The 19,787-nt window shown below is 45.1% G+C and overlaps 1 long non-coding RNA gene across 2 annotated transcripts in view, besides 8 other annotated features; it reads right to left on the reverse strand.

Annotated features, from left to right (window-relative positions):
• LINC02773 (long intergenic non-protein coding RNA 2773) overlaps window positions 1-11,307 on the reverse strand; it is a 36,718-nt gene extending 25,411 nt beyond the window's left edge. The window contains exons 1-2 of one of the 2 annotated variants that reach the window (NR_183482.1): window positions 11,005-11,307; window positions 10,249-10,349 (exon numbers count right to left, since the gene is read on the reverse strand). This is a non-coding gene — a long non-coding RNA (long intergenic non-protein coding RNA 2773). Of the gene's footprint in view, window positions 1-10,248; window positions 10,350-10,980 lie in introns of both variants that reach the window. The other variant, NR_183483.1, reaches the window with a different exon arrangement.
• Window positions 1,303-2,120: an enhancer, noted in NCBI's record as "NANOG-H3K4me1 hESC enhancer chr1:212828983-212829800 (GRCh37/hg19 assembly coordinates)". NCBI's record gives its function as "activates a minimal SCP1, AML or CMV promoter by ChIP-STARR-seq in naive and primed H9 embryonic stem cells {active_cell/tissue: H9 hESC(naive and primed)}" and the evidence as "EXISTENCE:reporter gene assay evidence [ECO:0000049][PMID:30033119]".
• Window positions 2,383-2,472: an enhancer, noted in NCBI's record as "active region_2512". NCBI's record gives its function as "activates an Ori minimal core promoter by ATAC-STARR-seq in GM12878 lymphoblastoid cells {active_cell/tissue: GM12878}" and the evidence as "EXISTENCE:reporter gene assay evidence [ECO:0000049][PMID:35858748]".
• Window positions 3,755-4,571: an enhancer, noted in NCBI's record as "NANOG-H3K27ac-H3K4me1 hESC enhancer chr1:212831435-212832251 (GRCh37/hg19 assembly coordinates)". NCBI's record gives its function as "activates a minimal SCP1, AML or CMV promoter by ChIP-STARR-seq in naive and primed H9 embryonic stem cells {active_cell/tissue: H9 hESC(naive and primed)}" and the evidence as "EXISTENCE:reporter gene assay evidence [ECO:0000049][PMID:30033119]".
• Window positions 11,062-11,371: a silencer, noted in NCBI's record as "silent region_1802". NCBI's record gives its function as "represses an Ori minimal core promoter by ATAC-STARR-seq in GM12878 lymphoblastoid cells {active_cell/tissue: GM12878}" and the evidence as "EXISTENCE:reporter gene assay evidence [ECO:0000049][PMID:35858748]".
• Window positions 12,927-13,146: a silencer, noted in NCBI's record as "silent region_1803". NCBI's record gives its function as "represses an Ori minimal core promoter by ATAC-STARR-seq in GM12878 lymphoblastoid cells {active_cell/tissue: GM12878}" and the evidence as "EXISTENCE:reporter gene assay evidence [ECO:0000049][PMID:35858748]".
• Window positions 17,229-17,523: a silencer, noted in NCBI's record as "tiled region #1202; K562 Repressive non-DNase unmatched - State 20:ReprD". NCBI's record gives its function as "represses a minimal TATA promoter and a strong SV40 promoter by Sharpr-MPRA in K562 cells {active_cell/tissue: K562}" and the evidence as "EXISTENCE:reporter gene assay evidence [ECO:0000049][PMID:27701403]".
• Window positions 17,229-17,906: a biological region, named in NCBI's record as "Sharpr-MPRA regulatory region 1202".
• Window positions 17,294-17,906: an enhancer, noted in NCBI's record as "H3K27ac hESC enhancer chr1:212844974-212845586 (GRCh37/hg19 assembly coordinates)". NCBI's record gives its function as "activates a minimal SCP1, AML or CMV promoter by ChIP-STARR-seq in naive H9 embryonic stem cells {active_cell/tissue: H9 hESC(naive)}" and the evidence as "EXISTENCE:reporter gene assay evidence [ECO:0000049][PMID:30033119]".

Here is a 19,787-nt window from a genome sequence, read left to right on the forward strand (position 1 = left end):
GGGCATGGAGGTGGGTGGTCAGGTATATCGGGGCATATTGTGGAGAGAAGTGTAAGAAGTATGTGGTTACTTTGGTAGTGGACACTAGAGAGACACTGAAGGTTCTTGAGGAGGAGAGTGACATAATCCAAAAGTCAAATCTGATGGCTATGTGGAGAGGATTGAATGGAGAGACTGGCATCAGGGACTCCAGGGAAGACATAATGAAGGGCTGAACATGGCCATAAAGGAATAGGTAGAAAGGTCACAAGAAAGGCACAAAGTAGAATCCAGGTGACCTTGTCCCCAAAGACATGTAGGAAGAATGCTGATTTCTTTAAAGGGAACTAGAAAGTGAGGCCAGAAAACTGGTTTATAGTGAAGAAATACCGAGTTTAAGGTACTTGTAGGTCATCCAAGTGGAGATAATATTATTGTCATTAGTATTGGCTGACAAACATTAAGAGATTACTCTCTACCAGGCACCATGCTAAGCCCTTCACATGCATTATCTCATTTAATTCTCATAACATCCCAAAGGGTAGATATTGTTATCCCCATCTTACAGATGAGGACACTACAGCTCCAAGAGGTTAGCTACTTGCCCAAGTTCCCACAGCTAGTAAGAACCCACGCCCCTGGCTCCAAAGCTCCTAACCACCATGAGGCTCTGGTGCTTGGGGAAGAGGTCAGAAGCTGGTCTGTGGCCACAGAGATGACAAGGAAGATCTTAAGAATGTATGGGACCTCCCTAATGAAATTCGAAAAGGAAGAGAAGAGAACGAATCTTTATGGCATATCATTAGACAAGTCGCTGAACTGTCACCATCTGTCAACTAACCTTGAATGAGACCTCTAAGAGCAATTTCCCTATTCCCCAGGATTTAAATGGGGTTTGGAGTTGGCATTGACAACCCACTAACAACAGCTCACAAGCTCACTAGCAGAGTAACCCGCAACTCAGCGTGAAGGAGGCTGTTTGCTCCTTCCACCCTCTAATGAAGACAACTTGTTTTTCTAAGTAGGACTTCTTTTCTGGTTGTAAGTCTTGGGACAGAACTTCGAAGCAAAATCTGGATGCAGAGGTGGAGTGGGATAGGAGGGAGCAGGTTTAGGGGTCACTGCACTTTTCAGCTATTCCTTGGGAGCTTCAGACATAGTCTGGAGGGTAGGGGAGACATTGATGAGATGAGAGAGTAGAGGATGGCCTGCAGAGGGAGGGAGGTGGAGGAGACAGAGGGACAGGGCATGAGGGCTCGAGGGAGCAGGGCCTTGGAAGCATTCGCCCTCTCTCTGTGCTCACTTTTATCCACCAATTCCCCACTCTGTGCCTCTTCACTCTTTTTTCATCTTCTAAAAGAAAAGAAATTCAAGGGAACACTTACACTGAAGCCAAATTCGTTTCCTTCCCCTCCAAGCCAGGTGTCAGTGGTACCCCCCTCTCTTGGTCCCCCAGCATGATGGCTCCTCCTTCCTCATCCTGTATCCCTTCAGGAGCCACATCCAGCCCAATTAACTTCAGAAACTTCTCCTTCATCAGGCTTCCCTGGACCCCATGAGGTGAACCTTGAGAACTAGGAGAAAAGCTCCTACTCCCCTACCCCCAACCCCTCTTATGGCCTGGTGAGGAGAGGTGGGATGGGTGGGGTATAATCCCCTCTCAGCCTCCCCGTCAAGTCTGTGTTCCACACTCCAGGCCCCAGAGTCCAGCACACTTTGGGTTCCTGACACATGTTTGTGGAATGAATGAATAAATAAGTGAATGAGTGAATGAATGGGAGAATGGACATGCAACAAAGGATGCCAGAGCAGAGGCTGCTGAGTGGAGGAGGCTTCGGTGAGTCACAGCGCTCTCCATGCCTCCAGGGCAAAGCTGTGAAAACCATTAGCTGCAATTCAAGCCCAGCAGGCACAGAGCAAGCTTCAGTCACCCTGGCTGCAGAGTTCACACCCTGAGCGCCCATCCCCAGACCAGCAGCCTTGCCTCCTACACCCAACTACCCCAGTGAGATCTGGTCTCAGGCCGGCCTCATTGTCCACACAGGCCAAGGGTATGGGGTGGAAGCTCTCAGCAGGCAAGGGCTTTGGCTTACTCACCTGTGTACCCCCATGGACAGGCTCACAGTAGGTGCTTAGTAAATACCAAATTAAGGAAAATAGAGTTATTTGGTGTTTGTTCTGGTCTGAATGTTTGTGGCCCCCACCCCTCCCAAAAAACTCAGATGTTGAGATCCTAACCCCAACATGATGGTACTAGGAGATGGGGCTTTATCGAGGTGATTACCTCCCAATCATAGGCCATTGGGAGGTGATTATGGTGGAGCACTCTTGAATGGAATTAGTGTCCTTATAAAAGAGGCCCAAGAGGGACCTGTCACCCTTTCTACCATGCGAGGACACAGGCAGAAGGCAGGCCTCACTCAACACTGAATCTGTCAGCACCTTGACTGTGGGCTTCCCAGCCTCTAGAATAGTGAGGAATAAATTTCGATTGTGTGTAAGCCACCCACTCTATGGTACTTCATTATAGCAGCCTGCATGGACTAAGACACTGCTCGTTAGGTGCCAGCAACTTTAACATGCAGATGTCACACAAACCAAACAGTAGTTTTGAAAGGCGAGTCATCCTGTGCCTATTTTTGCTGATGAGGAAACCAAGACAAAGAAGTTAAGAGACTTCCTAATGACCACAAAGTATTCTGGTAGCAGAGACCTGGCATTGGTTCAAATCAGGTCGTTTTGCTCTTAAGGCCATGTTCGTTCCACCAAACATAAAAACCCAAACCATCTGGGTTCTGGAGGAGGAAACTGGAAGAGAAAATCCTGGCGTCCCAGAGCCCACCCAGGTTTAGTGGGCTTCCCTTCCTTCACCCCACTTAGGAGAGGCAAAGGAGGCACTGAGTAGGGAAGGATGGCAGCTCCTCCCATGTCTCCAGGTGGCTTGCTACTGAGGCCTCTCAGATGTCCAGGATGGGGGAGAAGGGGACTATTCCTGAGACCTAGAGGGCTTGGATAAGGACTATTCCTGAGACCTGGAGGGCCTGGATAGGGACTGATAAGACCTAGAGGGCCTGGATAAGGTGAGCCTCTAGTCTACCCCAGGCCCTGATGGCCTCATCCTTCTGCTGGGAGCCATGTTCTGAAAGTACAGTGGATGAGAAGAGAGAGCGAGTGAGCCTGGCAAGGATAAACCAGTCCACACTTGACCCCAAAGCAGTGTGAGCTGGGAGTGAGCTTGGCCAGGAAAGTCAGTCAAGATGGAAGCCCTTAGAAGACAGCTCCTGAGACAGATTGACATCAGACCAGCCGGCCTCCACGAGCATGCTGAGGTGTCTGAGACGCACTCCAAAGGGCGCAGCCGGGTCAGCAAATTCCAACTGAGGCTGTGCTCTGCCTTCCAGAGCTTTGTGCCTGTAAGCAAGTCACTCACCTCTTAATGGAGATCATGATATACTTCACAAGATTGTTATGAGCATCGAAAGAGATGGGGCATTTGAGTGAATCCCTAACCAACAAAATATATGGAAGAAATAGAAAAAGGTATTCAACTAACATTTGTTAAATTGAACTGTTCTTATGTCTAGCTAGATGTGGGGTTTCATAGTTTTACTTGACTGGATTTGGGTTGTATTTCCCCATATATCCTCATTTTCCCTTTTGATTTGTAAGTGGGTGGGTGGGGAATGACAACAAAAATTCATTGCAGATGGAGCCAAGATGGCCGAATAGGAACAGCTCCAGTCTACAGCTCCCAGCGTGAGTGAGGCAGAAGACGGGTGATTTCTGCATTTCCAACTGAGGTACCGGGTTCATCTCACAGGGGAGTGTCGGAAAGTGGGTGCAGGACAGTGGGTGCAGCACACCGAGTGTGAGCTGAAGCAGGGCGAGGCATTGCCTCACCTGGGAAGCGCAAGGGGTCAGGGAATTCCCTTTCCTAGTCAAAAAAAGGGGTGACAGACAGCACCTGGAAAATCGGGTCACTCCCACCCTAATACTGCACTTTTCCAACGGTCTTAGCAAATGGCACACCAGATTATATCCCTCACCTGGCTCGGAGTGTCCTATGCCCACAGAGCCTCGCTCACTGCTAGCACAGCAGTCTGAGATCAAACTGCAAGGCGGCAGTGAGGCTGGGGGAGGGGCTCCCGCCATTGCTGAGGCTTGAGTAGGTAAACAAAGCAGCTGGGAAGCTCGAACTGGGCAGAGCCCACTGCAGCTGAAGGAGGCCTGCCTGCCTGCCTCTGTAGACTCCACCTCTGGGGGCAGGGCATTGCCAAACAAAAGGCAGCAGAATCCTCTGCAGACTTAAATGTCCCTGTCTGACAGCTTTGAAGAGAGTAGTGGTTCTCCCAGCACACAGCTGGAGGTCTGAGAACGGACAGACTGCCTCCTCAAGTGGGTCCCTGATCCCCGAACAGCCTAACTGGGAGGCACCCCCCAGTAGGGGCAGACTGACACCTCACACAGTCGGGTACTCCTCTGAGACAAAACTTCCAGAGGAACGATCAGGCAGCAACATTTGCTGTCCACCAATATCCGTTGTTCTGCAGCCTCCGCTGCTGATACCCAGGCAAACAGGGTCTGGAGTGGACCTCCAGCAAACTCCAACAGACCTGAAGCTGAGGTTCTTGACTGTTAGAAGGAAAACTAACAAACAGAAAGGACATCGACACCAAAACCCCATCTGTACGTCACCATCATCAAAGACCAAAGGTAGATAAAACCACAAAGATGGGGAAAAAACAGAGCAGAAAAACTGGAAACTCTAAAAATCAGAGTGCCTTTCCTCCTCCAAAGGAATGCAGCTCCTCACCAGCAACGGAACAAAGCTGGACAGAGAATGACTTTGATGAGTTGAGAGAAGGCTTCAGACGATCAAACTACTCTGAGCTAAAGGAATAAGTTCGAACCCAACGCAAAGAAGTTAAAAACCTTGAAAAAAAATTAGACGAATGGCTAACTAGAATAACCAATGCAGAGAAGTCCTTAAAGGACCTGATGGAGCTGAAAACCATGGCACGAGAACTACATGATGAATGCACAAGCCTCAGTAGCCGATTCGATCAACTGGAAGAAAGGGTATCAGTGATGGAAGATCAAATGAATGAAATGAAGTGAGAAGAGAAGTTTAGAGAAAAAAGAATAAAAAGAAATAAACAAAGCGTCCAAGAAATATGGGACTATATGAAAAGACCAAATGTACGTCTGATTGGCATACCTGAAAGTGATGGGGAGAATGGAACCAAGTTGGAAAACACTCTGCGGGATATTATACAGGAGAACTTCCCCAATCTAGCAAGGCAGGCCAACATTCAAATTCAGGAAATACAGAGAATGCCACAAAGATACTCCTCAAGAAGAGCAACTCCAAGACACATAATTGTCAGATTCACCAAAGTTGAAATAGAGGAAAAAATGTTAAGGGCAGCCAGAGAGAAAGGTCGGGTTACCCACAAAGGGAAGCCCATCAGACTAATAGCTAATCTCTTGGCAGAAACTCTACAAGCCAGAAGAGAGTGGGGGCCACTATTCAACATCCTTAAAGAAAAGAATTTTCACCCCAGAATTTCACATCCAGCCAAATTAAGCTTCATAAGTGAAGGAGAAATAAAACACTTTACAGACAAGCAAATGCTGAGAGATTGTCACCGCCAGGCCTGCCCTAAAAGAGCTCCTGAAGGACGCATTAAACATGGAAAGGAACAACCAGTACCAGCCACTGCAAAAACATGCCAAATTGTAAAGACCATCGAGGCTAGGAAGAAACTGCGTCAACTAACGAGCAAAATAGCCAGCTACCATCATAATGACAGGATCAAATCCACACATAACAATACTAACCTTAAATGTAAATGGGCTAAATGCTCCAATTAAAAGACACAGACTGGCAAATTGGATAAAGAGTCAAGACCCATCAGTGTGCTGTATTCAGGAATGCTGTATTCAGATGCTGCACCCATCTCACGTGTAGAGACACACATAGGCTCAAAATAAGGGGATGGAGGAAGATCTACCAAGCAAATGGAAAACAAAAAAAGGCAGGTGTTGCAATCCTAGTCTCTGATAAAACAGACTTTAAACCAACAAAGATCAAAAGAGACAAAGAAGGCCATTACATAATGGTAAAGGGATCAATTCAACAAGAAGAGCTAACTATCCTAAATATATATGCACCCAATACAGGAGCACCCAGATTCATAAAGCAAGTCCTTAGTGACCTACAAAGAGACTTAGACTTAGACTCCCACACAATAATAACGGGAGACTTTAACACCCCACTGTCAACATTAGACAGATCAACGAGACAGAAAGTTAACAAGGATATCCAGGAATTGAACTCAGCTCTGCACCAAGCAGACCTAATAGACATCTACAGAACTCTCCACCCCAAATCAACAGAATATACATTCTTCTCAGCACCACACCACACTTATTCCAAAATTGACCACATAGTTGGAAGTAAAGCACTCCTCAGCAAATGTAAAAGAACAGAAATTATAACAAATTGTCTCTCAGACCACAGTGCAATCAAACTAGAACTCAGGATTAAGAAACTCACTCAAAACCGCCCAACTACATGGAAACTGAACAACCTGCTCCTGAATGACTACTGGGTACATAATGAAATGAAGGAAGAAATAAAGATGTTCTTTGAAACCAATGAGAACAAAGACACAGCATACCAGAATCTCTGGGACACATTCAAAGCAGTGTGTAGAGGGAAATTTATAGCACTAAATGCCCACAAGAGAAAGCAGGAAAGATCTAAAATTGACATCCTAACATCACAATTAAAATAACTAGAGAAGCAACAGCAAACACATTCAAAAGCTAGCAGAAGGCAAGAAATAACTAAGATCAGAGCAGAACTGAAGGAAATAGAGACACAAAAAAACCCTTCAAAAAATCAATGAATCCAGGAGCTGGTTTTTTGAAAAGATCAACAAAATTGATAGACTGCTAGCAAGATTAATGAAGAAGAAAAGAGAGAAGAATCAAATAGACTCAATAAAAAATGATGAAGGGGATATCACCACCGATCTCACAGAAATACAAACTACCATCAGAGAATACTATAAACACCTCTACGCAAATAAACTAGAAAATCTAGAAGAAATGGATAAATTCCTCAACACATACACCCTCCCAAGACTAAACCAGGAAGAACTTGAATCTCTGAATAGACCAATAACAGACTCTGAAATTGAGGCAATAATTAATAGCTTACCAACCAAAAAAAGTCCAGGACCAGATGGATTCACAGCTGAATTCTACCAGAGGTACAAGGAGGAGCTGGTACCATTCCTTCTGAAACTATTCCAATCAATAGAAAAAGAGGGAATCCTCCCTAACTCATTTTATGAGGCCAGCATCATCCTGATACCAAAGCCTGGCAGAGACACAACAACAAAAGAGAATTTTAGACCAATATCCCTGATGAACATCGATGCAAAAATCCTCAGTAAAACACTGGCAAACCGAATCCAGCAACACATCAAAAACTTATCCACCATGATCAAGTGGGCTTCATCCCTGGGATGCAAGGCTGGTTCAACATATGCAAATCAATAAACATAATCCAGCATATAAACAGAACCAATGACAAAAACCATATGAGTATCTCAATAGATGCAGAAAAGGCCTTTGACAAAATTCAACAACCCTTCATGCTAAAAACTCTCAATAAATTAGGTATTGATGGGACGTATCTCAAAACAATAAGAGCTATCTATGACAGACCCACAGCCAATATCATACTGAATGGGCAAAAACTGGAAGGATTCCCTTTGAAAACTGGCACAAGAGAGGGATGCCCTCTCTCACCACTCCTATTCAACATAGTGTTGGAAGTTCTGGCCAGGGCAATCAGGCAGGAGAAGGAAATAAAGGGTATTCAATGAGGAAAAGAGGAAGTCAAATTGTCCCTGTTTGCAGATGACATGATTGTATATCTGGAAAACCCTATTGTCTCAGCCCAAAATCTCCTTAATCTGATAGGCAACTTCAGCAACGTCTCAGGATACAAAATCAATGTGCAAAAATCACAAGCATTCTTATACACCAAAAACAGACAAACAGAGAGCCAAATCATGAGTGAATTCCCATTCACAACTGCTTCAAAGAGAATAAAATATCTAGGAATCCAACTTACAAGGGATGTGAAGGACCTCTTTAAGGAGAACTACAAACCACTCCTCAATGAAATAAAAAAGGATACAAACAAATGGAAGAACATTCCATGCTCATCAGTAGGAAGAATCAATATCATGAAAATGGCCATACTGCCCAAGGTAATTTATAGATTCAATGCCATCCCCATCAAGCTACCAATGACTTTCTTCACAGAATTGGAAAAAACTACTTTAAAGTTCATATGGAACCAAAAAAAAGCCCGCATTGCCAAGTCAATCCTAAGCCAAAAGAACAAAGCTGGAGACATCACGCTACCTGACTTCAAACTATACTACAAGGCTACAGTAACCAAAACAGCATGGTACTGGTACCAAAACAGAGATATAGATCAATGGAACAGAACAGAGCCCTCAGAAATAATGCTGCATATCTACAACCATCTGATCTTTGACAAACCTGACAAAAACAAGAAACGGGGAAACGATTCCCTATTTAACAAATGATGCTGGCAAAACTGGCTAGCCATATATAGAAAGCTGAAACTGGATCCCTTCCTTATACCTTATACAAAAATTAATTCAAGATGGATTAAAGACTTAAATGTTAGACCTAAAACCGTAAAAACCCTAGAAGAAAACCTAGGCAATACCATTCAGGACATAGGCGTGGGCAAAGACTTCATGTCTAAAACACCAAAAGCAATAGCAACAAAAGCCAAAATTGACAAATGGGATCTAATTAAACTAAAGAGCTTCTGCACAGCAAAAGAAACTACCATCAGAGTGAACAGGCAACCTACAGAATGGGAGAAAATTTTTGCAATCTACTCATCTGACAAAGGGCGAATATCCAGAATCTACAACGAACTCACACAAATTTACAAGAAAAAAACAACCCCATCAAAAAGTGGGTGAAGGATATGAATAGACACTTCTCAAAAGAAGACATTTATGCAGCCAACAGACACATGAAAAAATGCTCATCATCACTGGCCATCAGAGAAATGCAAATCAAAACCACAGTGAGATACCATCTCACACCAGTTAGAATGGCGATCATTAAAAAGTCAGGAAACAACAGGTGCTGGAGAGGATGTGGAGAAATAGGAACACTTACACTGTTGGTGGGACTGTAAACTAGTTCAACCATCGTGGAAGTCAGTGTGGCAATTCCTCAGGGATCTAGAACTAGAAATACCATTTGACCCAGCCATCCCATTACTGGGTATATACCCAAAGGATTATAAATCATGCTGCTATAAAGACACATGCACACGTATGTTTATTGCGGCACTATTCACAATAGCAAAGACTTGGAACCAACCCAAATGTCCAACAATAACAGAATGGATTAAGAAAATGTGGCACATATACACCATGGAATACTATGCAGCCATAAAAAAATGATGAGTTCATGTCCTTTGTAGGGACATGGATGAAGCTGGAAACCATCATTCTCAGCAAACTATCGCAAGGACAAAAAACCAAACACCGCATGTTCTCACTCATAGGTGGGAATTGAACAATGAGAACACGTGGACACAGGAAGGGGAACATCACACACTGGGGCCTATTGTGGGGTGGGGGGAGGGGGGAGGGATAGCATTTGGAGATATACCTAATGTTAAATGATGAGTTACTGGGTGCAACAAACCAACATGGCACATGTATACATATGTAACAAACCTGCACGTTGTGCACGTGTACCCTAAAACTTAAAGTATAATAAAAAAATTCATTGCAGATCTAGTATGTGCCAGATTAGTCCTTCTCAAAGCCTGGTTCCTGGACAGATTGCACCAACATCCCCCGAGATGCAAATTAGAAGTGCAAATAAATTATTGAGCCACACCACGGTCCTACAGCTTGAGAAACTTGAGGTGGGGCCCAGCAACTCATATTTTAATAAATCCTCAGGTGATGCTGATGCACACTAAAACCACCGTGCTAAGTGTTTTACATTAATAATCTCATTCAATTCCATACAAGCCTAAAGAGGTGGGAAGTATAATAATATCCCTGATTTACAGATGACAAACATGGGGTTTGGAGAGGTTAGTGGCCTGCTCCAGGTCCTCACCTGGTAAGGGAGCCCCAGGTCTGTGTAACCCACACCACTGCCCTCTCCCCTCACTACCTTGATGCCTCCCAGAAGTGAGATGCTTTTGTTCCAAGAGGGCTTCCTGTAGGCAGATGTGGGAGCAGGAGTCACTGGTGACACTGGAGCATTCTCCTGGGCTGATGGGTAGAATAGACAGCTATTTTTACTAGGTTTGCAAGACCAGCTGGATTGTTATCATCTATGAAACTAGGCAAACATCTAGCACTAGGACTGTCCCATTCTCGGGCTGGAGCTAAGAAGACATCGCTACTAGTTTGCAATATTCCCAGGGCACCTACCATCTGCTAAGCATGAGCTTCCGCAACATTGAGACCTGTTGTAACCACTGACAATGATGTCGCCTTCAAGGATGGATTAAGTTCCTACTACTTGAAGGCACTGTGCTAGAGGCTTTACAATATATTCTTCTCCTGGTGTTATTATGCCCTTTAACAGATAAAACCGTTGAGGCTCAGAGAGACGCGGGGACAACAGCTCTTACGCAACGGGGCAGGGTTCTGGCCTGCATACTCTAAGGATGATTTCTTCCATTATGCTATCGTTTGAGAAGACAGGAGGGAGTAGGGGAGAACGGTGGGGGCTCCCAGCAAAAGGACAAGACCCTCAGGGCCTGGGGTAGAACTGGAAGCCCACTCTTGACAATCAGTCCTTACCCAGGAGCACAGAGTCAGGGAAATCTGGTCCCAGCACCCATGCCCCCTTCCCCTCCTGGCTCCCTGACGCAGGAGAAAGCCCCCTGGGACTCACTGCGGGCCGGCGGGCACCTGTCACTGATGGGAAGAGCTCCTGTTTCCTTGCCTTGTGCCAAGAGGGCCCAAGGCAGACCTGCCAGCAGCCACGAGATGGCGCTGCGATCCAGGCGACTCCGGGCCCTGCAGCCACCCTCCCCGAGGCTGCCCCGCGGAGGACCCAAGCGGTCGTGGAGGACGCTCTCCCACTCCCCAGCTTCCCTCTTCCCTCCCTCCTCCTTCCTCGCCCCCTGGCCCTGCGAAGAGTGGAGGCCGCATCAGGGAGCCCTAGGCCCAAGGGCGGGCTAGGACTCCCCAGTGACTCCCAGGCAGCCCGGGGACAGCTGCTTCTCCCCTCCCCTGCCCTCCCTTCCTCTTTCCCTGGGCTCCTCCCCAGCCGGGCCAGCCAGTCCTGGGCCACTGCGCTCCCACAGCACAACTGAAGCAGGATCGCAACTCGCAGACTTAACGACTGCACAACTAAACATCAAAAATGAACTCTTCGTTAGAAGACATCCCTCTGCTTGAAAACGTAGCCGTCGAAGTTCCCTCTATGTGTCAAAAATAAGTTATGCGTAGGAGCCAGAGTCCCGTGCCTGGTGTCACCTCTCTTTCCCAAAATCCTCTCCCATCAAGAAAACCATGCATGTGCGTGGGTCCGCGCGCGCGCACTTGGAGAGGTAGAATTTTGAGTTGAAAATCTGAATCTACCATGAAAAATTGTGTGACACCAAGCAAGTGTTTTAAGACTCTTTGAGCCTCAATTTTCTCATCCATAAAGTGGAAATAATACCAGTAATCACTTCATGGGCTGTTGGAAAAATTAAATACATCTAAACCATTTACAGGTGCTTTAACACATAGTAAGTACTCAGTAAATATTATTTCTTTTCCTCTGACACTTATGGTGTGTGTCCATCATTTGGCATTCAATGCAGGCAGCCTTGCGTTTTTGGCTAATTTCTCCTATAGGACATCCCACCCCCAAGGGCCGTGTCTTGCATATCTGTATGTTCAGGAGCACCCAGCACAGACTCTCGCCTGGTGCATAGTAATTAGAGTGGGCCATAGTGACCACCAAAAACCACCGCCTCTGGCTTCAATTCTGCCTCCCTCCTGTCTTCTCTCAGGTGCTGGCTTCATGCACAACCCTGCTAGCGCAGCTACCTAGTGTCCTCTCCTCCACTTCTCTGCTTTGGGGCGGGTGGTGCCCAGCTTTCAGTGGTGAGACCTGTAGCCTTTTGCTCTCTGCTAGGCCAGGGAGCCCCTTCTGAGAGGGTAAGGGGGGCCAGGGTGGAAGGGGCATGGTTCTTGTTTTGTGTCCTGGAGAGAGTGTGCTCCATATAAAGCCTGCTTGAGCAGAGGAGAAGAAGCCGGCCCCGGCACCTTAGCCTTGACCCAGGTTCGTATGGTGTGGAGCCCTTGCTTCTGCTGTGATCGGGCCCAAAAGGTTAACAAGTCAGTTTGTAGAGGTCTGTGTCTGGGAGTTCTTTGGGGTTTTTATTTGTGTCTTTCCTGACTTTTCTATCTCTGAGAGTCAAGTCTTTCTTCCACATCTCTGTCTTGCACTGCAGTTCCCCAGTGCGCAATCATTCCATGTGTGTTGACGGACTGCAGGGCACATTGGCTCTGAAGGCTTTACCAAGCTGGCTCTCAGTCATATATATATTTTTTTAATTTTTGAGACAGGGTCTCACTCTGTTGCCCAGGCTGGAGTGCAGTGGCACAATCATGGCTCATAGCAGGCTCGAACTCTGGGGTTCAAGCGATCCTCCCACCTCAGTCTTCTGAGTAGTTGGGACTACAGGTGCCTGCCACCACACCTGGCTAATTTTTATTTTATATTTTAGAGATGGGGATCTCATCATGTTGCCTGGAGCTGATCTCAAACTCCTGTGCTCAATCAATCCTCCCTCCTAGGCCTCCCAAAGCGCTGGGATTGCAGGAGTGAGCCAACAAACCTGGCCTCAATCAGGTCTTTAACCGTCCAATTTATTCAATTCTGCCAGAGGGCCCCCTGCTGAAGCTGTTCACAGATTGCTCTGATATCATTAAAAAGCTAACCACATATGCAAATGAAGTGTTGGAGGTGTGAGGGTGGCTTGGGGTAGACAGTGCTTCTGGTTCATCTAGGAAGGCTTCCTGGTGGGGGAAGGGGAGGGGCTGAAGTTGTCATTGAAAAGGATGGAGTTTGATACAATGAGGGGGGTGGTGTGGTTTTAGGCCATAACCCTCCCTTTCCTGGGGCAGGTCCTCACATGAGTCATTCCAGAGTTCCCTTGCTGGTCAGTGGGAACATTCTAGTGTGTGACATCTCCCTGGCAACAAGCTGAGTTCCTGGAAAACAACAATCACAGAGAGACAGTCCACCACCTCTACCCTCTTAACTCTTCCTTAGAAATCCTACTGTCTGCAGCTGGGAATGAATGGAATGAAGGTCAAGGATGAAGTAATAACCAAATATTGGGTTTTGGGTGCCCTGGTAACTGTCCGGTTTCCAGTTAGGGTTCCTGGGTGACATCTTCCTTCTGGGGGAAGACAGAGTCAAATGAGAAACGTGAGTTGAGCCCAGGGGAAAGGATCATCCGGGAGATGCCTGAGGGGCTCCAGGGCATCGTAATCTCTTGCTCAGCTGGCAGAGTGGGGCTGACACGGCCAGCTGCTCTCTGGAGTCCTCGGCCTTCCTGTTTCCCCCTGAGGACTTTGAGTGGGGAATCTAAACCATATGTCTCTGATTCATTTACTGTGAACTCATCAAGTTGCTGTTTGGCAAGAGTCCTTGGATGTCTCGGAAGAGCTTTTGGTTTGGTTTCATTTGTTCTTTCTAGTGCTTTTCCTTTGAAATAGGAAGTTTATGTTTGCCAAAAATAAGTTGAAAAGCTAGATTTGATATTGGATCAGAGCATAAAAAGAAATCAAGAAGATATTATCCTTTGTGTTTCCCTATTTTTAACTTCGCAATGCAGGCAAGTCATAGCTGACATTTAATTCTGCGAATTGGGTGCTATCATTATCCCCATTTTACAAATGAGAAAACTAAAGCCTAGAGTGGTTAAGTAAATTGCCCAAGTCCACATAGCTAGTAAAGTGGCAGCTTTATATACGTGCACAGTAGCATCACCAAGGGCCTATCTTGCTTTTAGGGGCCTATGTAAATATTTTAATTTCTTTTAAAATCAGAAAAAATGAACTTGATGTTGAAAGAGAATTTAATGTATTTGTCTTTCTACCAACACAGTCATATAAAGTTTAACCCTTTCAGAAGCAGCACCATCTTGAGTACCAGGGAGAATGAGAGAGAGAATGGAAGGAGCAGTGGTTGGGTGTCCACTGTGCTCGGCGGGGCTGACCACTGTGTGAAAGTGGCCCAGATGCCACGTCAGCCCCCTCACTGAGGGGACTAAGCCCACACCCTAAGATAGAGAAGACTGTATTTAATAAAGTGCCACTGGGCTTTGACTAGGTAGATCACACGAGGCTTCACGAAGGAGCTGGGATTTGAGAAGAGGGTTAAACATGAAAGGATGGGAAAGTAGAGACAATTTGAGGAATGGAGAATTCCCTGTATGGGGGGAGACTGGGGGTAGCTGATGTAGAGGTTGTGTTAATTATTAGTTAAAACTCGGTTTCTAAACTACTTTTGAATTGTATTTTGTTTGTATTTCACTTTGAAGATCTGCATCTAGCTGTTATTTGTTTTCATTCTGTCAGTGATAATTAAAGCTCAATTGTTACTTAAACTCACAAATGATTATCTTCTGTAATAGAAAGGTAAACAGGACTTTTGTTTTTGTTCATTTTGTTATTTCCTGTTAGAGGTTAACTAATATTCATTCTTTAGCAGTTTATGTCTATATAGCAGACATAGATGTAGCAGGTATAGATATTGCTGTTTAGCAGCAATAATTAGGAAATTGTCCAAAAGGTCATAGGAAACCATCTCACTTCCTTATTTTTGCACCAAAATGACATACCAAACATTGCAGTGTGATTTCCATGGAAAGGACTCATGGTTTACAAACAGTGCCCCTCAGAGACAGGACTTGGTAAAGACACCTTGGGGGACAAGGGGGTAGGCAAGGCGGGCAGGGAGTGGCCGGGGGGTAAGCAGCAAGTGGGTGCTGAGGTCCTTTTCCCTGCTTTAACCTGATCAGGCTGTTTACATATGGTAGGGTTTCTAGAAAAGATTTCATTTTTTAAAAGGGGGATCCTCTGAAAAAAATGAATTTGAAAACCACTGCTATAAAAACTTTAAGAAAGTTAAAATCTCTAGGAACTAGGTGGTTTATTTCTTTATTCTCTGCCTATTCCAGGAATAACCTAAGATGGCTTATCAAATATTAATACATATCATTCAGCAAGTTTTGTTAAGCAAAGCAGAAATGGAAAGAAGGAAAAATAATGATAGAGACGTCAGACATCCCCAGGGCAAGGTTCATGCACCAATGTACCCGAGGAGGAGCAGGCCAGCAGGGCTGGGCGGCACAGGCTGCAGCTGGCAGGCCTGGTTCACAGAAGGGTCATGCAGACGCAAGCCATCCTCCCTCTGCAGGATGAGGCGATGGTGGCCTGGGCAGAGCCCTGAGATCCTGTGGAAGCTCCTAGGATATTAGTGAGAGTCCTTGGGAGGTTTGTTTGACTTTGCACAAGCGCGTCGTTCTCCATCCCAGCCACCATCTTTGTCCTTTCCTTCCTTAAAGACGCATAAACCATGGCAAGTGGAGGTCTCTGCCTGCCCACCCGGCTGTCCTCAGTCCTCTGGCCACACACCCTTCACACCCTAGTCACCCCCCAATCAAAAATGATCAAAAGCCAAATTTGATCATTTGTCTTGGGTTTACTCTGGGCCAGGTACAATTCCAAGTACTTCATACATTCAGTCCTCCATGTCTGTGGGTTCAACCAACAGTGGATAGAAAATATTTTTAAAAAACCAAACATCTGTACTGAATATCTACATTTTTTTCTTGTCATTATTCCCTAAACAATAAAGTATAACAACTATTTACATAGCATTTACATTGTATTAGGAATTATAAGTAATCCGGAGTTGATTTAAAGTATACAGGAGGATGTGCATAAGTCAATGTAAATACTAAGCCATTTTATGTCAGGGACTTGAGCGTCTTTGGATTTTGATGTCCATGAAGACTGCTAGGTAAATTACTGTGTGGTTTCTCCCTGAGTCATCAGCGCAGGGATGAGGTTGGAGGAGCGAGGTTTTCCTGCCAGTATTTGGGTTCTCTTTACCCGAAGAAACCAATCCCCGGAAGATACTGAGAGACAACTGTATGTGTTAACACTTTTGATTCACACAACATCCCTATGAGGTGGGTAATATTATCATCCCCATTTAACAGATCAAGAAACCGAGGCACAAAGAGGTTAAACAACTTGCTCAAAGTCATACATCTGGTGACAGAGCCGAGATTTGAAAGCAGTTTGGTTCTGCGCTCTTTCTACTCTACCGTGGAGCCCCAATTTCCCAACTCATTACAACCTGCTGGTTGCAGAGTGGGACGTTATGCTGTCCCTGAGGCTGAAGTCCCAGGTTTTACCCTCAAGTGAGCTACTCAGTCACACCTTGGCCTGTCCTGTTTGGGGGCCACAGATGGCACCTTGCAGTCTGTCCAGCCATTTGTTGATATTGCAGATCCCAAAGAGAACCCAAGGTTGGAAGGAGTAAGGGAGCTCAAGGCAGGCTTTTCTCACAAAGGAAAAGGCAGCAAAGAAGTAGGATATGCAAGACAGGATCTTGGTTGCTCCATGGTTTCATCTTATCAATAATAATTGATGTTATGACAGATACCACTTAGAGCCAGACACTGTTCTAGGCATTTTACATTCATGATCTTATTTAATCCTCAAAGCAACTGAGCAAGGTAGGTATTATTAGTCTCACTGTACCAGGAGGAAATTGAGACCTAGAGGCCACAGTGAATTCATCTCTGCTTTTCCCCAGGCCATAGCACCCAAGTTTTCTACGTGGTCACCACCCTTGTGCCCTCTACACCCATTTGCACAGAAGCTGCTTCATGAGGGTTCTCAGGATCTGTATTTGCTTCTGCTCCTGCCTGTCAGTTCCTCAAAAGCCAAGGCTGTGCTCACTAGTTCTCTTCACGTCCTTCCTCTCTAACTCCAAGAGCCCCACAGAAAGCTCTTCGTAAGGTAGGCTCTGGTTCGATGCTGCAACTTCACAGCTAGGATGACATCAGCAGCTGGCACCGCTGGTGGAAATGCAGAAATGAGGAAACAGCCAAAAACAGAGTTCCCCGATCCTTCTTCACCCCCGACAACTCCTTACTTGCATATATATGCATAAAGGATGAGTCTGCCTAAACACCTTAGAAAAATGCCTACCCTTGAGCGTCCAAGCCTCAGCTGTGTAAATCGTCATGCAAATGAGGCAGCAGCTGTGGGCCTGGTTGCCAGAGCCATTTGTGTCCTCTCACACCTAAAGAAAACACAAATACTGGTAGGAAAAGCCCGCTCCTCCAGCCTCATCCCTGCCCTGATGACTCAGGGAGAAACCACACAGTAATTTACCTAGCAGGCTCCAGAAGCAGCCTCTTCACTTCCCTGCCAACCCTCCTCACCCACCCGCACCCCCGCACAGGCAGGGGGAGGTGATAATAAGCAGGCTCTTACCAGCTGTCTTTGCAGGGGCAGCGAAAATGATTGCTCAGCCTTGTTCAGGAGAACATACTCCCCCAGCCCTGGCTAATTCTTGGGCATGTGGGGCATGGGAAGGAAACTGGTGCCAGGCTGGCTCAGGTCTTAGAAAAGTGTCATTCATCTGGACAGTGCACGGACTTTGTAACAACTTAGTGATGGAACCAAAGCTTACTTTTGTGCCATTTATGAGGGAACTAATTTATAAGCAAAGGAACTCAACTATTTGCTCATTTATTCAATGTATACATGACAACACAATAAAGGAGAGTTTTTTTAAAAAAAAAAAACCCTAAAAATGGCTGTTATTAGCATGAAAAATCAGCTGTAGCACTTTAGCCTATGGGAGAGAATTAGGCATTTTCAAGTTGTTTCAAGGGTCTTGAGTTTAGTAAAAAAACAGACCTAGAAATTTCAAATAATGCTTTTCTCTTTATTGAGGTAGATTCACAGAACCCCCTTCTTGTCAACCTCTCTCACTCCATGCAATGAAAATACATAGCCTTCAAAAAAAATTAAAAAGGCACTTGTGTTTTACAATTTTTAAATAATTTACTTCTTCAAATTTTCAGAATATCTTCCCTACCTCAATTATTCTGAATGGATGAGATAACTCAAAAGCATGTTTTTATAAAGTGACTTTGGCTTTGGAATGTATTATTTGGGGTGCATTTGTAAGTCCTCTACATTCCAAGTTTGGTCTGTAGACCAGCAGCATTGGCATCACCTGGAAGCTTGATTGAAATGCAGAATCTTCAGTTCCTGATTCTCCTGGTCCAGGAGCTGCAATTTAGCAAGATCTCCGGGTGCTTTCAATGCACATTGAAGTTCAAGAAGCACCTGTTGGATATCGTCCTCATGGGCAATGGCCTGACTTTGAGAGTTTTTGCTTTGCTCCCAATGATGCTAGAAGGGCTGGTTCTCTCTGAGCAAGTGGTAGTGTTCTGAGGACAGCTGGTACTAGACCTTGTTGGGGTTTGGCCTCAAAAACAGATCAAGTGGGTGGGTTCACACACCATGACCTCGGCAGCTGGCCTCCAGATCAGGAGGAGCAACAAGGACATTTCTTGAGCTACCTGTTGGATTCCCCTTTCTTGACTTCAGGGAAAGGAGGAAGCCCTCACAAATCCTTTTGCAATCTTCTCCTGTCTCCACTCTTTTATATCTTCAGTGTAACTGAGAGGTTTCACCAGTCAGGTAACCGGTCTTAAATTTCTTTTGTAGTAAATTTTGTATACAGCCTAGCACTTCCTTTAGAAAGTAGCATCTATTGTAACTTGGTAGCTGATTCAAAACTTCAACATTACATCTTGTGGCATGTATAATAGAAAAAGAACTGGGAAAACCCTAAGTGTTTACCAATTATTGGTTCAATAAATTATAGAACATCCATGCCATAGAGTATTAGGCAGTAGTTAAAAAGTATAGGGCCCGTCTCAATGTGTGAACATGAGACAGTGTCCAGGATGTATTACATGAGAAAGCAAATACTGTCATCCCTCCCTATCCACATGAGATTGGTTCAGGAACAACGCAAAAATACCAAAATCTGAAAGTGCTCCAGTCCCTTATATAAAATGGTATATACTATTTGTATATAACCTATGCACATCCTCCGTATACTTTAAATCATCTCTAGATTACTTATAATACCCAATACAGTGTAAATGCTATGTAGTGGTTGTTATACTATGTTGTTTTTTATTTGTATTATTTATTATTATATTGGGTTTTAAAAATATTATCAATTCACAGTTGGTTGAATCCACAGATGTGGAATTCTCAGATACAGAGGGCCAACTGTATCTAGTATTACCTCATTTGTGCCTGAAAGAAGAGGAAACGATCTTCATGTATAGCCTTTATGTGCACAGAATATTGCTGGTTGTATATCTTAGAACCTGGAATAGCCACTGCTTCTAAACAAAGGGTCTTTTTTTTTTTTTGAGACAGGATCTCACTCTGTTACCCAGGGTGGAGTGCAGGGGCATGAACACGGATCACTGCAGCTTCGACTTCCTGGCTCAAGCAATCCTTCCACTTCCTGGCTCAAGCAATCCTTCCACCTCAGCCTCCTAGGTACTGGGATTACACGTACACGCCACCTCGCCCAGCTAGTTTTTGTATTTTTTTGTAGAGAAGAGGTTTCACCAT

This window comes from Homo sapiens, chromosome 1 (assembly GCF_000001405.40).
Source record: "Homo sapiens chromosome 1, GRCh38.p14 Primary Assembly".
Lineage (NCBI taxonomy): Eukaryota > Metazoa > Chordata > Mammalia > Primates > Hominidae > Homo > Homo sapiens.